The 21,751-nt window shown below is 47.1% G+C and overlaps 1 protein-coding gene across 3 annotated transcripts; it reads left to right on the plus strand.

The window, feature by feature from the left end:
• The first annotated feature begins 306 nt into the window (after nt 1-306).
• Nucleotides 307-18,086, plus strand: LOC105371206 (uncharacterized). Of its 3 annotated transcripts, XR_922024.3 has the most exons (4): nt 550-645; nt 4,038-4,183; nt 16,132-16,240; nt 16,988-18,086. XR_922024.3 is itself a non-coding variant. In XM_047438039.1 (2 exons), exon 2 carries the CDS (start codon nt 6,848-6,850, stop codon nt 7,667-7,669), a length of 822 nt encoding a protein of 273 aa, XP_047293995.1. In that variant the 5' UTR covers nt 307-645; nt 4,098-6,847; the 3' UTR covers nt 7,670-10,525. The 3 variants fall into 3 exon arrangements, 2 of the variants coding, with proteins under 2 accessions (XP_047293995.1, XP_047293989.1); XM_047438039.1 differs by lacking the exons at nt 16,132-16,240; nt 16,988-18,086 and having other exon boundaries at nt 307-645; nt 4,098-10,525; XM_047438033.1 differs by lacking the exons at nt 16,132-16,240; nt 16,988-18,086 and having other exon boundaries at nt 4,038-10,525.
• Nucleotides 18,087-21,751: the final 3,665 nt, after the last annotated feature.

A 21,751-nucleotide genomic window follows, 5' to 3' on the forward strand; every position in this document is an offset into this window, starting at 1 on the left:
CTGGGCGGACGGCGGCGGCGCGGCGGAGAGGCGGACGGCGGCGGAGAGGCGGACAGCGGCGGCGCGGCGGAGAGGCGGACAGCGGCGGAGAGGCGGACAGCGGCGGCGCGGCGGAGAGACGGACAGCGGCGGAGAGGCGGACAGTGGCCGGGAGGCGGACAGCGGCGGCGCGGCGGAGAGACGGACAGCGGCGGAGAGGCGGACAGCGGCGGAGAGGCGGACAGCGGCGGCGCGGCGGAGAGACGGACAGCGGCGGAGAGGCGGACAGCGGCGGAGAGGCGGATAGCGGCGGCGCGGCGGAGAGGCGGACAGCGGCGGAGAGGCGGACAGCGGCGGCGCGGCGGAGAGACGGACAGCGGCGGAGAGGCGGACAGAGGCGGAGAGGCGGACAGCGGCGGCGCGGCGGAGAGGCGGACAGCGGCGGAGAGGCGGACAGCGGCGGCGCGGCGGAGAGACGGACAGCGGCGGAGAGGCGGACAGCGGCGGAGAGGCGGACAGCGGCGGCGCGGCGGAGAGACGGACAGCGGCGGAGAGGCGGACAGCGGCGGCGAGGCGCGCAGCGGCGGCGCAGGCGCGGAGAGGCGCTGGCGCCGGCTCTGGCGCGGAGAGGCGCAGGCCCAGGCTCCACTCCCCAGCTGTGAAAGGGTAAGAACCGAGGGTGGCTGAGACTCGGGGTTGTTCAGGGCGGGGTGGGCTCTGGACCCAGCAGGCCCGGCACCCAGGTCAGGGCTCCAGGGGAGGCCGGGTGGGCGAAGGCCAAGAAGGGGCTGGGGCTGGTCAGGAAGGGCTCCTGGTGACCGGAGCACTTTGCGTGAGCCAGCGTGGGAGGAAGGTGGGCTGGATGAGCCAGGGAGGCGCCGGGAGGGGCCTTGGCAGAGGCGACCCCCTCCGTCACCCCCAGGCCACTGAACCCTGGGTAGCGGAGAACCGACAGGGGAGGCTGCAGACAGAGGAGTGGAGGCTCCCCGGCTTTGGGGGCTCTGAGTAGAAGCATCTAGGGTGTCCCTCAAGAGGCCCCCAAACGCTTCCCCATGGTGAGAAAAGAAGGTGCAGAGAGGGGCACGGCGCTGGTGCAGAGGGGCACACAGCGAGATTTGCTGTGAGTTCTTTTATTGCCCCAAGTGTACCTCATCTTGGTAGATTTCTATTGGCTTTAAAAATGTGTGTGTTTTGCTGTTGGGGAGTGGGGTATTATACGGATGTCAGATTTTGCTGGTTGACTGTTCAGATCTTTTGTAAATCCTTGCTCCTTTTGTGCCTAGTTTCACTCTGTCACTTACACTAGAGTGCGGTGGCACGAACATGACTCACTGCAGCCTTGACTTCCTAGGGTCAAGTACTTCCCCTGGCTTAACCTCCTGAGTAGCTGGTACTATAGGTGTGTGCCGCCACACCTGGCTAAATTTAAAATTTTTTGGAGAGATGAGGCCTTGCTATGTTGCCCAGGCTCGAACTCCTGGCCTCAAGCTATCCTTTGTTTTTGCCTCCCAGAGTTCTGGGATTACAGGCATGAGCCACTGTGCCCGGCCTCTGCCTAGTTTTAACAGTTGCTAAGAGGAGGATGTTGAAGTAGATGTCTTCTTGGTGGGTTAATCCTTTTGTCATTAAGCAGTTGTTATGGTCACTTCCTCTTTTCACCCCATTGGTGAAGGAGGGGTCCCTGCCCTAAAGTGTAGGAGATGGCTGAACACGACACCTGGCGTGGATGGATGCGATTGACAGCAGTGTTTTAGTCACATATACCCACAGCTCAGAGGAGGACACTGCATGCCACACAGGGTCAGATGGGCACCGCACTCTGTAGTGGAGTGAGGGCTGCGGGCTGAGGAAGCAGGCGGGCTTGGTAGTAACAAGAGCACACGATGACCAATGGTTCCCGAGGGGGAATGCAATTGGCTTGTTTGAATAAATTCATGGGCTGGCAGACAGGTGAAGTGAAACTTCTTAGGCTGAGGTGCAACTGTTCTGGCTGATAAAAGAACTAGCCAGGTGGGGAGCCTTTCCTGTTGGGTGGCGGGGTAGGGGGTGTCTGGTAGAAACAGGAAAACCCACGGCTAGGTCTTTGGGGCCCTGTGAGGCTCAAACATGTCAAGGCAGCATAGGAAATTTTAGATCTTAAAATTCAGCGAAGACCCTCTCCAGCTCTGGTAAATTATTTTGCTTGAAGTCTACTTCATGAGATATTAATATATTCACTCCTGCTTCCTTAAAAAATTAATGATTTCACAGGATATCTTTCTCCATTCTTTTACTTTCAACCTACTTAGGTCCTTAAGTGAGTTTGAAGTTTCTTATGAACAGTATTTAGTTGGGCCATGTGTTTATTATAGGCTCTCCATCAATCTGTCTTTTGGTTTATTTAGACCATTTACATTTAAGGTGCTTATTGTTACATAATTGCTTATGTCTGATGTTTTTATTATTTGCTTTTTTGTTTCCTTTTTCTTTCCCTCCATCTTGATCTATTTCTGTATAATGTTGTTGCGTGTATCTCTTTGTATAGTCTTAAAGTGTTTGCTCTGGATGTTACAATATGTGTATTGTAATATAGTAGTCTACTGGTACCAGTATTTACCACTTCAAAGTGTGGAAACCTGCCTTGCATTTATGTCTCTTTACCTTTTCCACTTGTATAAATCACTGGCTTGAGTATTAGGTGGTGGTATAGTTTTTGTTTCAGTCGTCAAATGTGATTTTAAGAACTGTGGATTGTCTCGCATATGTATCCACATTTCTCGTCTTTCCTTTGTCCCTCCTCCCATAGTCCCATATTCATCCCTTCTGCATAAGAACTTTCTATAGCCATTTTTTTATTTTGATTTTTTTGTTTTAATTTTTTATATTGTGGAAATGACAGAACATATTTCTGTAGCCACTTTTTAGCATTTCTAAATTGACCAGTGACAAATTCCTATATTCTCTTCCTCTGAGAATGTCTTTATTTCTCTCTTCATTTCTGAAGGGTAGTTTCATGGGATATAGAATTTGCCTTTCATGTATTCAGAGGTTTTCAGTATTCGTATAATCAAACCTGATAGTTTTCCTTTTGGTTTTGAGGTTGTGTCTTGTTTGGGTGAGTCTCCTACCCATTTGACTACAGAAATGCCCTTTCATTTTAAATATCCTCCTATTATGAAACACATTTCCACATTTTCTAAATTTTTAATTTTTAGCTGAGAAATAAATTAGTAATTATTTAAGTATTAATTACTTTTATCTTGCTATTATTGGTTTTATTTATTTACATGTAGTTGGCTTACATTTAGTTTAGTTTAACTTAATTACTTTAAAGTAATGTATAACTATCTGCAGTTTGTACCTCATGTTCTCACTCATAAATGGGAGCTGAACAATGAGAACACGTAGACACAGGGAGGGGAACATCACACACCAGGTTCTATCCAGGGGTTGGAGGCAAGGGAAAGGAGAGCATTATGACAAATACCTAATGCATGCAGGGCTTAAAACCTAGATGACAAATTGATAGGTGCAGCAAACCACCATGGCACATGTATACCTATGTAATAAACCTACATGTTCTGAACATGTATCCCAGAACTTAAAGTAAAATTAAAAAAAAAATAATTAATTAAAAATATATATCTTCAGTTTGTAAACGTCCCGACAACACAGGAACAGAGTTAAAAGAGTGTGTGTCGTCCTTAGCTGCTCCCACCCCATCGTCTCCTCCCTAGCCAACCCAGCCGCCAGTCTGGCGTGCGCCTTCAAGGTTTCTTCCTAGACACTGGCAAACATAGATCACTATTTTCTGCCACATGGTATCTTTTAAACACACACGATTGTTTTGTGCAGAAACTTTCTATTTTTACCTCTCATAAGTGTCCTGTGGATTCTTTCCATGTCACTGTGGTGTGTGTGCGTGTGTGAGATTCAAGTTCAGCTTGCTAATCTTGTAGAAAGAATTACACTCCACTTCCCCTGTGCTCTGGCCCTCCCTAACACAGCAGCCCATCCCTGGAGGCTGATGGAGCCCCTCGAGCACCTGCTTACCATTTCTGTTTGTTCTGTTTATTCAGGTTTTCTGCCTCCTGCTAAGCCAATTTATACATTCCAAGAAAATCTTCCATTTCATCCAGGTGAAACAGAACCTACTGGAATGAAGCTGGCCTCCCATGGAATGAAGCTGGCCTCCCGTCTCCTTGATTTGAAGCAGCTTCTCCACGTTGGTTATTATGTCATTTTTCTAAATCTAACATTTTAAAATTTGTGCCTTTTCTTTCTCTTTTGCTTGACTTCTCAGAGGTTTTTTTAATGGTCTTTTCAAAGAAGTGGTTTTGGGTTTTATTTATCAAGTCTACTTTTATTATGGCTGTTTTAAAATTAAATACATTTATTTCTTGTTTCCCTTAAAAAAGCTTCTTGTATGTTTACTTAGTTTATATAATTTTATATGTCTTCTGTTGAAGCATATTAACAAACACTTCCAGCTATAACGTTTCCCCTGAGAACTGCTTTGGACACATCCAGAGATTTTGATAGGTCACACACTTATTGTAGTTTGTTTCTGAAAAGTTTTTCATTTTAGTTTTTATTTTCTCTTTTACTCAAATTATCATCAGCTTTCTCCTTTTATCCTGTTTCTGACAAATTAATCTGAGGATATAAATTTCTCCCTAAATGTCAATTTTGTTGAGTTTCATAATTTTAATATGTAATACCCTATTGCTATTGAGTTCCAGGCATTTTATAATTTTCATTGTGAAAACTAACTTTGTTTCCAAAACACACTTTTTCTTCTTTTTTGAGACAGAGTTTCACTCTGTCGCTCAGGCTGGAGTGCAGTAGCACAATCTCATCTCACTGCAACCTCTGCCTCCTAAGTTTAGGTGATTTTGTTGCCTCAGCCTCCCTAGTAGCCGGGTTTACAGGCTTTTGCCACTATGCCTGGCTAATTTTTTGTATTTTTAGTAGAGACAGGGTTTCGTCATGTTGCCCAGGCTGGTCTCGATCTCCTGACCTGGGGTGATCCACCCGCTTCAGCCTCTCAAAGTGCTGCGATTACAGGCATGAGCCACCATGCCCGGCCCCAAAATGCACTTTTAACATGGTCTTTGTTATTGCATGTTTCTAATTTTGTTGCACCCTGGTGAGAGAATGTGATTTGTGTAACAGCAATTCTTGGGAAAGGGGCTGAGGCTTCCTGCTCCTTTAGCACAGCTAAATTTTCCCAAACGCCATCCATGAGCTTGGAAAGAGCATTGTACTCTGTTGGGATGGGCTCAAATCTCTCTGTAAAAATGAGTGTTCTTCTGTTGTTGTTGTTCTGTTTTTTGTTTGTTTTGTTTTGTTTGTTTTTTGTCTCAGTCGTTTTGTTTGCTCAGATCTTTTGATGATCCAGATGATCTTTTAATTTATGCAGGATGTTTCTCTGCTTGTGCAGGCTGGTGGGATTGGGGACTGGAGAGAGGATAAGTGTCTGCTTGCCCAGGACTGGCAAACTGTCACTTGCCCTGGTTGTGCCTTGCCAGGAGCTCCCGTGCCTGTCTCTGAGAGTGTCATGAGCGCAGCGGTGGTAGTTGTGTGGTGGATGCATTTCCCCTGGGTTGGGGGGTGGGTGGCTGGTCCTAGCTCTGTTTGTTGTTGCCGATGAGACACAGCACACTTCTGCTTCCTGATGGATCTTGTCGGTCATTTGACTTCTTCCTGGTCTGGGCTCCTGAGCTGGCCCTCCGCAGGCCAAGCAGGAATGGAGCTGGCTGCTACAAGAGTTCCTTCACTAGAGGGCATCTCTCCTCTCTCCTCCCACACATGGGAACACAAGGGTGGGCTTTCCTCCGCCCACTGTGATCCGCAGCCCGGCTTTCCCCTCCTCACCCTCTGCTCTCAGACAGACTTGGTTTTCGCTGGTGTCTGTGAGAGGTGATTCTTCATGGTGCCAAGAATGTGGATTTTTTTGAGAGCAGGCACTCTCACAGATATTTGCACACCCATGTTCAAAGCAGCGTGATTCACAAGAGTCAAAAGGTAGAAGCATTCTGAGGGTCTATGGGTGAGTGGATGGGCAAGCGAAATGTGGTTATGCATACAGTAGACTGTTACTGAACCTTTACCAGGAAGGAGATTCTTTTTTTTCTTTCTTTTTGTGGAAAATGCAGTCTCGCTATATTGCCCAGGCAGGTCTCGAACTCCTGGGTTCAAGCTATCTTCCTACCTCTGCCTCCCTAACAGCTAGGATAATAGGCGTGAGCCTATAATATCACCCAGCCAGGAGGGAAATTCTGAGAGGTGTGCCAACACACATGAACCTTGAGGACATTGTGCTAGATGGAATAAGCCAGCCACAAAAGGACAAATACATTGCGATTTCACTTACATGAGGGGCCCAGAATGGGCAAATTCAAATACAGAAAGAGCAATGGTTAACAAAAGGAGGGAGTTGGTGTTCAATGGGTCTGGTTTCCTTTTGGGAAGATGAAGACGTTCTGGAGATGGACGGTGGTAGGGGATATGCGACAATGTGAGTGCACTTAATGCCAGTTATAACACGGGGAGCGCGTGTGCACACGGCTCTGGGAGTTCTCGTGCAGCACTCAGAGCTCAGCGTGGGCGAGGGCGTCACCCCTCTGGGGGCGTCCATGGGGCCTTGGAGAAGGGAGGCTTCAGGGCACCAGAGCAGTCTACCGGGAGAGGCCGGGCCGAGCGCTTGTTCACCCCCAGCCCTCTTAGGGAACTTTCACATGCTTCTCCCACTAGGCCTAGGCACCCCTCCCTACTCTCCCTACCCTCCTGGTTCCCTGACCCTCAGTGACTGTGTCCTTCAAGACTGAACTCCAGAGTCCCCACCCGAGGACCCGCAGTGCCCAGCCCCCGCGAGCTCGCGGGGTGTATGCCCACCCCGAGGCTCCACCGCGCCTGTGTGCTGGGAAGCCTGGCTCCATGGGACCCTCGGGCTCTGGGCGCGCTGTCGCTGCAGCTGCCAGCAGCTCCTGAGGAAGTGGCTCGAGGCCCTGGGGCGGGCCAGGCGTGCGGTGGGCCCGCAGCCCTCACACCGGCCCCGGCCGCACACAGGAGGCACAATCAGCAGAGACGTTGGACAGGGTTGGACACTGGCTGTCTCTTTCGGGCCTCAGTTTTCACGTCTGAAATAAAAGCGAGCATCCTGGCCCTGGCGCCATGCCTCTGCCGCGGTAGAGGTTTCCACCCCTATGAGCCCAGTGCGCCTTCCAGGCTCGAGGGAGAGGGAGTGTGCGTGCGTGTGAACGCGTCACACTCTTGTGTGAACGCGTCATACGCTTGTGAAAGACTGTGCGTGTGCACACGCGTGTACGTGCATGTGAACGCATCAGGGTGCCCGAGGATGCACACATGCACGTGTGAGTGTGCGCGAGTGCGTGCTCAGAGGACAGCTCTCAGCAGGCTGGGGACCTCCTTCCTCTCACCCCTGAGGGTTTTGGGGGACCAGCCCCCGTCTCCGGGTGCTATGGGATGCCCTGGGGCGAGCTCCCACCGCTGTGCTCGGGCTCCGGCTTTGTGGGGACCCGGCCTTCCCCGCCCTCACCACGGGGAGTTCCACGCAGCACCCACGAGGTGGCGCCGCAGACTCGCTATCGCGGAGCGTGGCGGCTCCCAGCAGCCTTGCCTACAGCTGTGGCCAGGGCGATCCCTCTCAGGCCCAGGCCGCTGCTGCCAGGAAGAGCAGGAACAATAGCCAGTCACGCCTGGTGATGCCCTGAAGTGCTTATGCTCCCAGGCATGGGCTGTCCACAACGTGCATTCTCTCCTTTTATGCCCCTACTATTTGGAACGCTGTATTTTTTCATTTTTATTTTTATTTTTTGTTGTAAATCTGCCACTTAAAAATACCCAGGGTGGAGCTAAAAGTACAGACACTGCTCAACTTACCCCTGGCTGCGGCCCAATAAGGCCGCTGCGAGTGGAAAATGACTGAGTCCACCTGACTACCGAATAGCACAGCGTGGGGGGGCCCACCTTGGCCTGCTGAGAACACTGCCCTGAGCCTGCGGTGGGCAGAAGCATCAACACGAAGCCTGTTTTGTAGTCAAGTGTCGGATACCTCATGTAATCATTGACTGCTGTACTGAAAGTGAAAAACTGGCCGTGTGGGACTCACACGAGGGTTTCTGCTGACTGTGGATGGCTTTTGCATCACTATAAAGTTGAAAACTGTTAAGTGGAACTGCGGTAAGTCGGGGCTGTGTGCGCTAGAGACCTGAGTTCTGCCGCTCCATAGCTGTGTGACTTTGGACACATATTTGAGCCTGAGTGTCTTCTACACAAAATGGATTTCTTAGCATAACCTACACATGTGTACGTGCCCGTGAGCGTGCACGTGTGTGTTTGCATGAACACATCTGTGTATGCACGAATGTGTGCACATTTGTGTGTGTCTGTGTAAGTCCGTATGTACATTTGTGTGCATGTCTGTGTGTGCATATGTTTGTATGTGTGTGTGCTATGCATGTGTGTGTTAAGGCCCTGGGGTGGAGCTGAGGAGTTGAGGGGAGATGCTGGGAGGGCAGCCAGCACCAGGCGTTTGTTGGCCAGGAGAGAAGCTGCCATCCAGGTGCACTCTGGAGCTCGTGCTTCAGTGGCACAATGCTTTGGGAGTGAGGAAGCTGGGGGCTGGGGCAGGGCAGTCCTGCACCTCAGGGGAGGTGCAGAGTGAGGCCAGGAGGATGGAAAGAGTGCCAGAGAATGGGGGAAATCTGAGGCATCAGGAAAGGAAGACACAGGCCATGGAGAGGGCAGCTGGGCCCTGGGTGAGGCCGGCCCTCAGGAAGGAGGTGCCACAGGCAGGGGAGTGCCCAGATGGAGAGCCCAGGGGTATGGACCCACGGGTGTATGACAGTGGGGGTACTCCTGAAACAGAGCAGTGTTATCCAACAAGCAGGGTTGGGACAACTAGTTATTTCATTTAAAAAAACAGGTCAATGTCAGTCCTCATACTGTGCTTTAAAATAAGCTCCAGATGGACTCATGTTTTACATGTAAAGAAAAGAAGGCAAAAAGAAAATAAAGAAAAGGCTTGTAAGCAGGTAGTTAATTGGAGGCAATCCCAGGATGCAGGAGAGAGGGGATGGAGCCACAGCAGGTCTGGGGAAGGGAGAGAAGCCGGCCCCGAGACCGCAGCCCGAGGACCCATTCAGGCCAGCAGTGCCTTCTGTGCACTTCCACAAGGTCACACGTTCTTCCAAAGTTGCCATCATGGAGAGATAGGCTTCCACGTAGTCTTGACTCCACTGGATTTCAGTCCTTAGGTGACTTTTCCTGTGATCACACTCAGCCCTGATACAGTCATTGCTGGGGCCTCCCCTGGCTGGACGTTCCGCTTTTGGTTCACATTCTTTCCTCCTGCCCCGAGACTGGCCATGGGCCTCCCAAAGGCTAGCTGGGAGGACCTCCCTTCCACGGCTGTGCTCTTGCTCTGCCCATGCTGTCGCCTCCATCTCCACCTCCCTCTCCATCCTCACCACCAGCCCTCGAGTCAGTGGGGAGCTTTCCACTCACCAAGCCCAGGCAAGTGCATCGCGTGAATTTCTCTTGCGCCTCCCACTAGAGGTAGAGGCGCTGTTGTCACCCTATCTGCTGAGGATATGCTGGGGCTGGCAGGGGCCACCCAAGACCAAGGGTGTCACTGTCTCCATCCTGTGCCCACCCAGTCCTGCCCCCTGGGCTCCCTTCAAATCTTTTTTTTTTTTTTTTTTTGAGACAGAGTCCTGCTCTGTCTCCCAGGCTGCAGTGCAGTGGTACAATCTCAGCTCACTGCAATCTCTGCCTCCTGGGTTCAAGCGATTCTCCTGCCTCAGCCTCCCAAACTGCTGGGACTACAGGCACCCACCACCACACCCGGCTAATTTTTTATTTTTATTTTTGTATTTTTAGTAGAGATGAGGTTTCACTATGTTGGCCAGGCTGGTCTTGAACTCCTGACCTCGTGATCCCCCTGCTGCAGCCTCCCAAAGTGCTAGGATTACAGGCGTGAGCCACCACACCTGGCCCCCTTCAAATCTTAACAGAGAAGCCACCAAAGTCTCCTTGGGTCCATCACATGGATGGGCCTCCTGGGCCCCTCAGACCCTGGGCTTCCCTTGAGGTCCTGGAGCTATGTGGGCTCCAGCTCTGGGAAGGTGGACCCCCATGCATGTGTCCTGCCGTCACTGTCTCTATGGAGTCTGGCTCACACTAAGTGAGCCATAAGGCCTTCTTCAAGGTCATCTGTCCCACTGATTTCAGACTCAGGGCGGAGTGTGAAATCATCTGTCCCCCACAGTGCACTCAGAACCCTGTCTGGACTAGGGCACACACACATGCATGCGCATATGAACACACATATGCATATGCACGCACACATGCAAGGCTGCAAGTCTCATGCACACACACATGCACACACATGCACATGCATGTTCACATGCAGAGGCACTCAGGCACCTAGAGCCTTCTCATCCTGCACTTTGAGTCCCCCCTCCCCTTGCCCATCCTTGCCCATCCTTCAAGGCCTCAGTCAAAAGCCATCTTTTACAAATTGTCTCTGGTTGACTTTCCTTTTTTTCCCTCTTAGAAGAAGCGATGCTGTCCTCAGTCATCAAGCGTTCACTAGACGCTTGGTGTGTGCCAGGCCCCGATGTGGGTCTTGGGCATGTTCCAGTTCTCACGTCCTCAGGGCTCCTTGGTGAGTCGAGGGTGAGGAGGACACAGAGGCACAGGAGGCCATGGGGCAGGTCTGGGTGCACTCAGGCTCCAGAGCTCAGCCCTCCCTGCTGAGTCAGGGCGAGCAGGATAGACGCCTGCTCCTGGAACTCAGTGGGTGAGGTGGACACGCATGCAGGGAGGTACCAGCCTCAGGGGCTGTGGAACAGAGAAAGGGAGCTTCCAGGACATCAAACAATTCCTGGAGTGCCAGGGCAAGAGGGGAATCTGGGTGGAGGAAAGTGTGAACAGGGCAGAGGTTGGAGGTGGTTGTGGCCCCCGAGCATGTCGGAGGCGACTGAGCTGCTCCTTGACTTTGGGCATCTTTGTTCGTCTCTGCATTTGCACATTTGTTGAACAAACCTACTGAGACACTTGTTTTCTTTCCATGGTCCATACATTAGGAATATAGAGTTAGCTTCCTGGGGAACATTTTAAGACGTATTCTTAGAGAAGAAACCAGGAAGGCATCCTTGTGGGACGTTGGTCCAGGATCTTGGGTGTGTCCTTTGGTCTTTTGTGGGTCAGGTTAGCAGGAATTGTGTCCTGAGGTGTTGGAACTGCAAAGTGCAGGTTCCCTCCTGCCCGCACTGATGCCTTCAGGGAATGGCCTGTCCGCTTTTCTAAGAAGAACACTTAACTCAGCCTTGGCTGACTTCAGCTACCTGTGCTTTCTCCAGCCAGGCTCTGTGTTTTGTGCTTTTACTCTCAAAACAACCCTATTATTATCCGTGTCCCACAGATGAGGATGCTGAGCCCCTGAGAGGCTCAGTAGGTGCCTGAAGGCATTCCAGCCAAGAGGTGGCAGAGCCAGGGCCAGCCTGGCCTGAGGACTCTGAAGCTCCCACAGGCACAGCTCCTTCATGCCAGCTCTGTGTCAGGATTTTCTGTGGTCATCACAGCCATCTTCCTGGTCGGCTAAGTTACAGACAGGGTGGAACTAGGATGGCCAAGCTGGAAGCAGAGCTCATTCCTGAGCAGGGCACCCGGGCCCTGCCTACGGTGCTGGGCAGGCTTCTGGTGTGGAGGGTGGGCTCAGATCCTGCTGTCCCTGTGGCTGTGGGAGGCTTTTCTAGGCACCCTCCTGACTGCTAACACCAGGAGGGCCTATGATATGGGACCGCTGCCCCATGACGTGTGCCAGGTTTCTGCACGCGACTGCTGGGAAAGGCTGGCCCTGGGCTGGGTGGACCCGCACTGCCTGCTGGCCCCTGCACCCAGATGGTGCAGCCCACACCCCTCTGATGTCCACCCATGCTCGGCTCTGGGACTTCCCTCCTTCCACCGTGTCTGACCCTGGTTGCCCTTGTTCTGCCACTGGCTTGTAGCAGCCCTTCCTGAAGCCACGTCCTCCAGGGAGATTTGATTATGTCCTGGTGTTGCAACCTCGCTAATGCAATCAGGAAGTTTTCTCAAGACTTCAGCTGCTTTGTTGGCAGCCAGGCCTGACTCTCAGCAGCTCTGCAGGCTGGAAGGGCCCAAGAGACCCCTCACCCACCTGGTGTCTCCAGCAGTGGGGAGGGCTCCGGGGCATAGCCTATTGCTGCTCTGCTCTCCTCCTTTCTTTGGGTAAGCTCCTTTGCTCTGATTTTATCTGGAATCATCGAGAGCCTCTATCTGTCTAGAAAAAGCACTTAGCAATGAGGAATCAGCACTGCGGAGAGTACTCCAGAAAGCAGCCATTTTCCATCAAGATTAGGCTCTTAATTGAAAATTTTAAGAGGAGAGGAAATTAGGGGAGAATCCAGATATTCTCTCCATTATGGTAATTGGCTGTAATCAGAGCCCAAGAGCTGTGTTCAATCCTGGGGGTTCTTCCAGGATTACCAGAGCTGTCATAGTCACCTTCACTGACCTGCACTGGAGTCAGTGGGAGGGGCTGGCGGGGTCCGGGGCTGCTCTGGCAAGTGGATCCAGGAGGGCTGGGCTGGATCCAGGGGGCTGAGTTCAGAGGGGACTCTGCTTAGCAAGTGTGAAACACACGACAGGGCCTTCCAGGCAGAGGGAAGATTGAGAACTGCGGCCGAGCGAGTGCGTCCAGGGGCCCGAGTTTAGTTGAGGGCCTAAGTTTTCCCAGCAGGGCAAGGTTGAGGGTGAGGATGCTGCAGGCCAGTTTTGTATGGCCTCAGAATGAGGACAAGAAGGGGGAGATGGGCCACAGGGATGAGGGTGCCTGCTCCCTGCAGCAGTGTGCACACCACGGCTGTGCAGAGGCAGCAGGTGGCAGGTATTGGGAAGAAGCCCTTCCCTTGTGTGTCCTAGGGGCTGGGCACAGCCTGATGGGCCCCCTTTGCTCACAGTTGCAGAAGCCCATCCATGTAGGGTCCTGCTGAACTGGCTTCCATGGGGCTGGGAAGGACTGGCCTGGCCTCTTTGCTCACTTCACCTTATGGGCAGTGTCCTGCAGGTTTCTGTGAGCAGAGCAGACAGAAAGGAGATGCCCAGTGACGTCAGCTGTCCCCCACAGAGCTTCCTGGAGCCTGGGCTCCAGGCTGAGGGTCCTTGGACAGACGTCATCTCCCTGGCTTCAGCAGAATCACCCACAAACCCACCCTGTGCCCACCCTCCCATCACAGAGAGCAGCTGCTGGAGAAGGCAGCATGAGACTTTGAAGACCTCGAGGAGCAGGAGACACAGGAGACAATGGCCAGGATGGTCATGGTGGCGCGGCTATGCCATCACTGATTTCTGCCTACCTGCCCCCTAAGTCTCACTTGCTACTACTCTCAATTTCCTACTTAATGCTTCAGAGAGCACCAGTCCTGAGATGAGAGGCGGGATGTTCACTCTCTGGGAGTTGAGATGGAACCCAGGCAGTTAGAAAAAAGTGCCACAGCCACGTGCCGAGCCTACTACTTGTCAGGAGCTCAGTGAGTCATCCAATTCCTAAAACAACTGTGCTGCATGTGCTCCACCGCGCCTGGGCGACTCGGGGAAATGGGCTGCGGGAGGCTTAGTGACCTGCCCTGGGTGACACGGATGGCATGGATGCCCTGTCCATGCACGGGGCTGTGCTAGGAGAGGACAGGATCATCCCCAGAAGCTGGTCCTGTGTCCACTGCTCACGGTGGCAGCTGCTTGGGCTGACAACGCCCCCCACCTCCTGATCAGATAGTGATATACTTGGTCCAAACTTCGAAAGTAAAAAAGTTAAAACAGAAAAATAGTCTCCTGGTCATTCATGCTCTCTGGTTCCCTTTTCATTAGTATCTCTTTCTCCTTCTATTTATGGATCTAGTTATTTAAAGCACAGATGGTGACATTCTGTACATATTCTGCATTTTGCTTTTTAAGTCTATTTTATTATGACGTACAATACATATAGAAAAGTGGAAAAAACTGAAATGAATGAATTTTCATGAAGTGAGCATTGGTGTAAACTGAGCCAGTACATTGGGAACCCCCTTCATTCTCCCTCCCAGTTACTGCACCATCCCTCCTGCCACCGGTAAATACTGCCCTGACCTTCATGGTAACTACTTGCTTTGCTTCCATTAGATATTCTATTTTTGTTTCAGCTGTGCTTTTGAACTTTATAGAAATGGATTCATACAGGGTGTATTCCTTCACATTGAGCTGGCTGTGTGCAGCATTGTGTGCAGTTGTTTCATATTGTAGCCGGGAACAGTGACTCATCTTCATTGCTCTTTAGCATTCCATTGTTTAATTGAATCCCAGTTTTCTTTTCCACTGTTGGTTGTGTTTAGATTTTTTTCAGTTTGGGGTTACTATGAAGGATGCTATAAAGAGCATTCTTGTACATGGCTCTTGTAGCACAGTGAACACATTTCTGTTGGGTGTAGAGATGTACGTATATGTGTGTGTGTGTGTGTGTGTGTGTGTGTATATATATATACACCCCAAGGGGTAAAATTGTTGGATGTACATACCTTTGACTTCAGTAAATCATGCCAAACTGCTTTCCAAAGTGGTTGTTCATCTTTTTTTCCTTTTGTTTTTCAGTGGATCCTTATAGTTTGGGATTCTTCCATAATGGTACATATAGATGTGTCTCATTTTTTTAAACAGTTGCATAGTTTTCACAGCATGGACATAACATGATTTATTTAACCTGTCTTCTGTTGTTGGACTTCGTTATATTTATACTCAAACAATGCCACAATGAATAACCTTCTTCATAAGTTAATTAAATACTCGATGAAAAATACAGGTTTTTTTTCAGTTTATAAAAGTAATACTTGCTCACTGAGGAAAAAAAAATCTGTAAATTACAGAAAAACACAAAGGAAATATATCCTCTGATCCAACCAGAAAGAAAACTACTTTTCCTATGTTGTGCGTAGCTCTCTAGTTTTTTCTTTCTTTATATCAATTGGATTTTTTTTTTTTTTTTTTTTTTTTTTGGAGACAGGGTCTCACTGTGTCACCCAGGCCGGAGTGCAGTGGCATGATCACAGCTCACTGAAGCCTCGACTTCCCAGGCTTAAGTGATCCTCCTACCTCACTCAGCCTCCCGAGTAGTTGGGACCACAGGCATGTGCCACCACATCTGGCTATTTTTAATATTTTTTGTATAGATGGGGTTTCGCCATGCTGCTCAGGCAGGTCTCAAACTCCTGGCCTCAAGCCATCTGCTTGTGTTGGCCTCCCAAAGTGCTGGATTACAGGCATGCACCACCACCCCCGGCCTAATTGAATTTTTATTTTGGAAGAACCATATACCTTTATACATATTCTTTCTATGACTTATTTTCTGTAGTTGAAGTTCAAGGGTGTTTGACAGTGTGATGTGGTTATTGTTAACCTGTATGTGGGGGCATACAGATATGTTTTTTTACTTTTTCCCATAAGGCTAAGATCATCTCCAGAAATATTAATTTTTTAGACAGTGTGATTATAGTTATTTAATACTCATACTTATCAAAATATTATATGTTAAAACCAATAACCATCTGAACTTATTTGAATATAGTTTTTCCTATTCTGTTCTTAGAAATTTCAGTCACTAACAATCTTTACACTTAGAAAGTGTTTTAATTTTACTTTGATGACAGGAATAGTGTTCTTCTCAATGAAATATAGAATAGCAGCTTATAAGTGATAACTGTTTTCATTCTGTTTTTAAGAGAAAATACTTTGGTCTTTTTTACCATGATAGTTTAGTGTGTGATGTCATAAAAATGGGCTGTAGCCATTTAAATTCTTGTTCAAGTGCAGAAACTAAGAGACTGCAGTTTCTATTAAGCCATGTCAACTCCTATTAGGAGACCTTTAGTGGTTCCAGTTCCAGGGCCTTCTTGAAGAAATTGTGATACTTGTGTAAGTATATCTAGAGTTTTCTTTCCAGCATTGGCTAAGTCACATAGCTGAGAAATATGATACATGGAGAAGGTTGCTGACTGGATGAACTTTTCTACATTGAATACTTTAAATCTGGATTCTAGAATAAAATATATTGATGCATATTTGAGTTGTCAACTGTTTATGTCTTGTTCTTTTCAGCTTCAACATTGCTTTATGGCATGTGTGGTCGTTTTTCACTCCATTGTTGTTGTTTACCCAGTTTATGGGGGTTGTAATGTTTATCACACTCCTTGGATGATTTCCGAAGGTAAGATATCTGGAATGGTTTTTCTAAAAATGAACTCATTTGAAAAATGTCTTTTATGACAATTTTCAGTGGATGGAGCTGTAACAGACTATTTGTGAATTATTTTCAGTCATGTTTACACCAGAGTTGTCCACACTAGAATTATCCATTCGTTGAACTCTGAGATAGACTCCTTTTTTTTGAGACAGTGTCTCACTCTGTTGTCCAGGCTGGAGTACAGTGGCATGATCACCGCTCACTGCAGCCTTGACCACCTGGGGGCTCAAGCGATCCTCCCACCTTAGCTTCCCAAGGAGCTGGTATTACAAACATGTGCTACCACGCTTGGCTAATTTTTAAAATTTTTTTTGTAGAAACAGAGTCTCCTTATTTTGCCCAGGCTGGCAGGGGTTGGGGGCTGAGACTCTTTCTTTTGTAAAAGTTGGTTCTAAGTGACTACTTTTTAGAGAAGGTACCCTGCCTTTCAAAGACCTCATAAAGACAGGATTTGTACCTTCCAATATAGTTAAATTCACACATTAGACCATTTTATGTTGAAATTATATTAATTTGTGTCAGCTTATATTCAATGACTGTTGGCTAGATCATTCTTAAGAAATGGGAATACAGGAAGAATGGACAATTTTACCCAACTGGGAAAAAAAATTCTACCATCTTCTAATTATTCTGACTTCCTCATAAAAATGTGTTGGATGACACAATCAGCTTTTGTTTGGTGTTATTTATAGAATTTCTGCCTCCCTACAGATCACCCCATCCTGAGATCTGCTGCCTTACACAGTGGAGGCTGTTTTCTGAGTGTCGGATAACTCTGTTATTAAATAAGTGCATATTGAGAATACTCACTCCAGATGCTTAGAGGCAAGTTGAGAAGGACAAAGATAGTGCCTCCTGTCAGGTCACTTACATCAGAACTTGCAGGAAACCTGCTTTATACAGCAGTTGACAGGTGTGGAAATTGAAGCTCATGGAAATGAAAGTTAATACGCTAAATTTTCAAGGAGTTAATGAAAACTGACATTTCTGCTAAAAACAGCATGTTCTCCCTGTGGGATTTTAAAGGAAGGTCAATGGTAACTGTACAAAGAAGAAATGGACACAGTCTCATTGTTAGCAGTCTGAAAATAGTTGCTAGCACCTCCATGCCCACGCCAATGTCTCCAGCCTCTTTCAGGCACCTTGCTGTGTCTTGGAACCACTGGGAGCCCTCACAGGAGGCCCTTCGTTCCTGTATGCATGTGGTGCCACAAGCTGCTTTGGGCCCGGAGGAATCCTACACATCTCAGAACACTTCCTCACCTGACCCTGTCACCCATCTCTCCCCTTCTCATGTGCTCAGCCCCTTCTTTGACTCTTGAATTTTGAGTTTTTACAGATGTTTGGGAGCTCTTACCCTGACATGAATTTACAATTGTAATGGAGACTCAGACAACGTTGTAGATCACAGAGTGAACTATGCTTTTTAGTGTTAAATGCAATAGCTTAAGATAGAATGTTTTACTTGTTACATAAATGCTGGTTTTCTTTCAGATTTAAGGATATATACTTTTTTTTTTTTTAAGAGATAGGGTCTTCTATGTTGCCCAGGCTGGCTTTGAACTCCTGGGATCAAGTGATCCTCCTGCCTCAGCCTTCAAAGTAGTTGGGACTACAGGCCCACGCCACCGTGCATGGCTGGACACGTAAATTTGAAGTGAATGGTTAAACATCCAGCTAGCTGAAAGCATGACAGACCCTAACAGAAAAGCTACAGTGTGTTTTTGCAGCTATGAAGTGAATGGTTTCCTGGGGAAAATTGTGACTTTGTATAACTATTTTTGAAACCAGAATAAATTATATTTCACTTGCATATTCTTAAATTATTAAAATTTTCAGAAGTCAGTGATACAGAAATACTATTTTGCAATGTTAATCTGTTTGAGTCTTTGGAGAAAGTGGTTTCATTATAGGTACATGATGCACTCTTAATATTTTAAACAAATAGTTCACTCTTCCATTTAAGGGATAGCAGTTCCTTGTATAAAATGACTGGATATGTATAAAGGAATTACGTTGTCATGTGCCTTTAACCAGCTTTAGTAATTACTATAATCTCATATTTATGATCGTTTTGTTAGGTGACAGGACCAAATGAAAATATTTTATGTTTTCCCGTCACTTTAGATTTTATCATTGTGTAAATTACTGGGTTTTTAGCATTTCCTAATGTGAAGTTTTAATCATTTTTAAGTATACATATTTTTTTCTGTACCATTTAAATAAAATATTTTTATAACTTTCTTGTGAGTTTTGTTCATGCAAACTTTGGAATGACTTCTGGTTTTTAGCTATTAGCACTTTGAATTAACCATAGAAATAACAAGGGCTAACTCTGTTCTTCAAAGACTTTATAAAGACAGTATTTGCACTTTCAAATGCAAATATATCTACATTAAATCTAAACAGCATAAGCATTGTGACAGAATGTACCTCATGTTGATTGTTTTCTCTGTAAGGTGACTTCTAGTAATGATTTGACTTAATCACCACTTGTGTCTGGTTCAGATCATACCCTGCCATTTACTAGCTGCAAGACCTTCAGTAGTACAGGTTTAGTATCCCTAATTTCAAAATCTGAAACTTTTTGATTGCTGATATGGCACTCAAAGGAAATGCTCATTGGAGCATTTCGGGTTTTGGAATACAATGCAAGTATTCCAAAATCCAAAACACTTCTGGTCCCAAGCATTTCAGAGAAGGGGTAGTCAGCCTGTAATCTTTTTTCAGCTGTGAAGTGGGAACAATATCTGTCTTGTAGGGTTGTGGGTAATAGTAATAATGTTTGTAAAACACCAATTACAGTGCCTGACACAGTAGGTGTCCACTCAATAAATGGTAATGGAGAGGGAAAGAAAGGGAAAGCAGAATCTAGGATCAGGAATATCACATCCCGTCATGATGTTTGCAAAGGGGAAAGTCAGGCATGATGAGTAGACAGAAGTAAACCCAGTTTGTTGTCATGGGTATGTGAAGGTGTGGCGAGAGTGTCATTTAAAATAGGGAGCAAGGCCAGGCAAAGGCCACAATCAGGCAGCCGAATCAGGCAGTGATGAATCAGGCAGTGATGTGAGGGTCCGGCACAACCGAGGCAGCAGCCCGGGAAGGGAGGGCATTTGGATCACACTCCCTGGAGGGAGCTTGGGTGGAGAGTGCCCCAGTGTCAGCCTTCACACATTTTATATCTTTTTTTTTTTTCTTGAAGAGTATGTTTACAACATGGATAGAAATCTAAGGCTGGCATGTGTTTAAAACAATTAGTTAAAACCCAGTTTCCCAAGAGCTAATAACTGGCCAATTAGGATGGTATGAAGATTGTCCTATTACTTAAAAAAAGACTTTTTGAGACAGAGTCTTTAACTTGTCATAACATGTCTGAACAGGATCTAGTTTGAGACACTAAGAAGGATAAGACATCAGTTTGAAAAGAGACCACATCAGTGCAACATTAATTCTGCTAAAATCGAAGCAAGAACAAACATCAATTTATTATGAAGCTTGGGTGAAAAATGGTAAAATCACTAATGCTTCATGAAAAGTTTATGGGAACAATGCCCCAAAGAAATCAACAGCTTACAAATGAATAACTTGTTTTAAGAAGGTATGAGATGATGTTGAAGAGGAAGCCCTCAGTAAGAGACCCTACACACGAATCTTTGAGGAAAAAATTCATCTTGTTTATGCCCTAATCAAAGAGGACTGATGATTAATAGCAGTTAACAATAGCAGAAACAATAGACAGTGTCATAGACGTCAAATTGGTTCAGGTTACACAATTCTGACTGAAAGCCAACTTTGCACTTGATGGGTGCCAAAACTGTTGTGCCCAGATCAGTTGCAAACAACAGCAGAGCTTTCAATGGAAATTTAAACAGTGGGATCAAGATCCTGAAGCATTTGTTCGAAAAGTTGCAACAAGTTATGAAACATGGATTTCGTAGTACTATCCTGAAGACAAAGCACAATCAAAGCAATGGCTACCAAGAAGTGGAAGTGGGTCAGTCAAAGCAAAAGCAGACCAGTCAAGAGCACAACTCATAGCAACAGTATTTTGGGGCTCAAGGCACTTCCCTTGTTGACTTTCAGGAGGACCAAAGAATGGTAACATCTGCTTATTATGAGAGGGTTTTGAGAAAGTTACCCAAAGCTTTAGCAGAAAATTCTTGGGAAAATTTCAGCAGAGTCCTCCTCCACCATGACAATGCTTCTGGTTATTCCTGTCATCAAGGGCAATTTTGGGAGAATTTTGATGGGAAATCATTACAGTCCTGATTTGGCTCCTCCTAACTTCTTTTTGTTTCGTAATCTTAATCTGTAAAGGATACCCTTTTCAGTTAATGTGTAAAAGACTGCATTGATATGGTTAAATTCTCAGGACCTTCAGTTCCTTAAGGATGGGCTAAATGGCTGTAGCATGACTTATACAAGTGTCTTGAACTTGATGGAGCTTATGTTGAGACATAAAGTTTATATTTTCAATTCATTTTTTCCAAGTTTTGAAGTCCAAGGGTACATGTGGAATGGCTAGATGGAGTTCATTAATATATGCATTACTTTGCATACTTATTTTTTGTGGTGAGATTTCTTAAAATCTACTCTTCACAATTTTTAAAATGCTATAAATTGTTATTAACTATAATTACTAAGCTGTACAATAGATCTCTTGAACTTACTCTTCTTACTTAAATGAAATTTTGTACCCTTTGACCAACATCTCCCAACCCACAAATTCCACCTGCTGCCCAGCCCCTGGTAGCCACTCTTCTACTCTCTACCTATATGACCTCAGCTTTTTTAGATCTACATATAAATGAGATCATGTGACATTTGTCTTTCTGTGCTTGGCTTATGTCACTTAACATAGTATCTTCCAGGTTCATATCCATACTGTTACAAATGTCAGGATTTCCTTTTTTTTCTTTTTTGAGACAGGGTCTGGCTCTGTCACCAAGGCTGGAGTGCAGTGGCACAATCTCAGCTCACTGAAACCTGGACCTCCCAGGCTCAAATGATCCTCCTACCTCAGCCTCCCAAGTAGCTGGGACTACAGGTGCACACCACTGGGTTTAGCTGATTTTTTTTTTTTTTTGAGAGAGAGTTTCACTCTTGTTGCCCAGGCTGGAGTGCAATGGTGTGATCTTGTCTCACCCACAACCTCTGCCTCCTGGGTTCAAGTGATTATCCTGCCTCAGCCTCCTGAGTAGTTGAGATTACAGGCATTTTTAGTAGAGAAGGGGTTTCTCCATGTTGGTCAGGCTGGTCTCAAATTCCTGACCTCAGGTGATCCAACTGCCTCAGCCTCCCAAAGTGCTGGGATTACAGGCATGAGCCACCACACTCAGCCTTTTTATTTTTATTTTTTTGTAGAGTTGAGGTTTTGCCATGTTGCCCAGTTGGTCTTGAACTCCTGGGCACAAGCAGTCCACCCACCATGGCCTCCCAAAGTGTTGGGTTTACAAGCGTGAGCCATTGTGC

Source organism: Homo sapiens, chromosome 1 (assembly GCF_000001405.40).
Source record: "Homo sapiens chromosome 1, GRCh38.p14 Primary Assembly".
In the NCBI taxonomy this organism is placed as follows: Eukaryota; Metazoa; Chordata; class Mammalia; order Primates; family Hominidae; genus Homo; species Homo sapiens.

Excerpts from the sequence above, each read along its gene's own strand:
- LOC105371206 (XM_047438039.1), top strand. The coding sequence starts at position 6,848 with ATGCCCACCCCGAGGCTCCACCGCGCCTGTGTGCTGGGAAGCCTGGCT.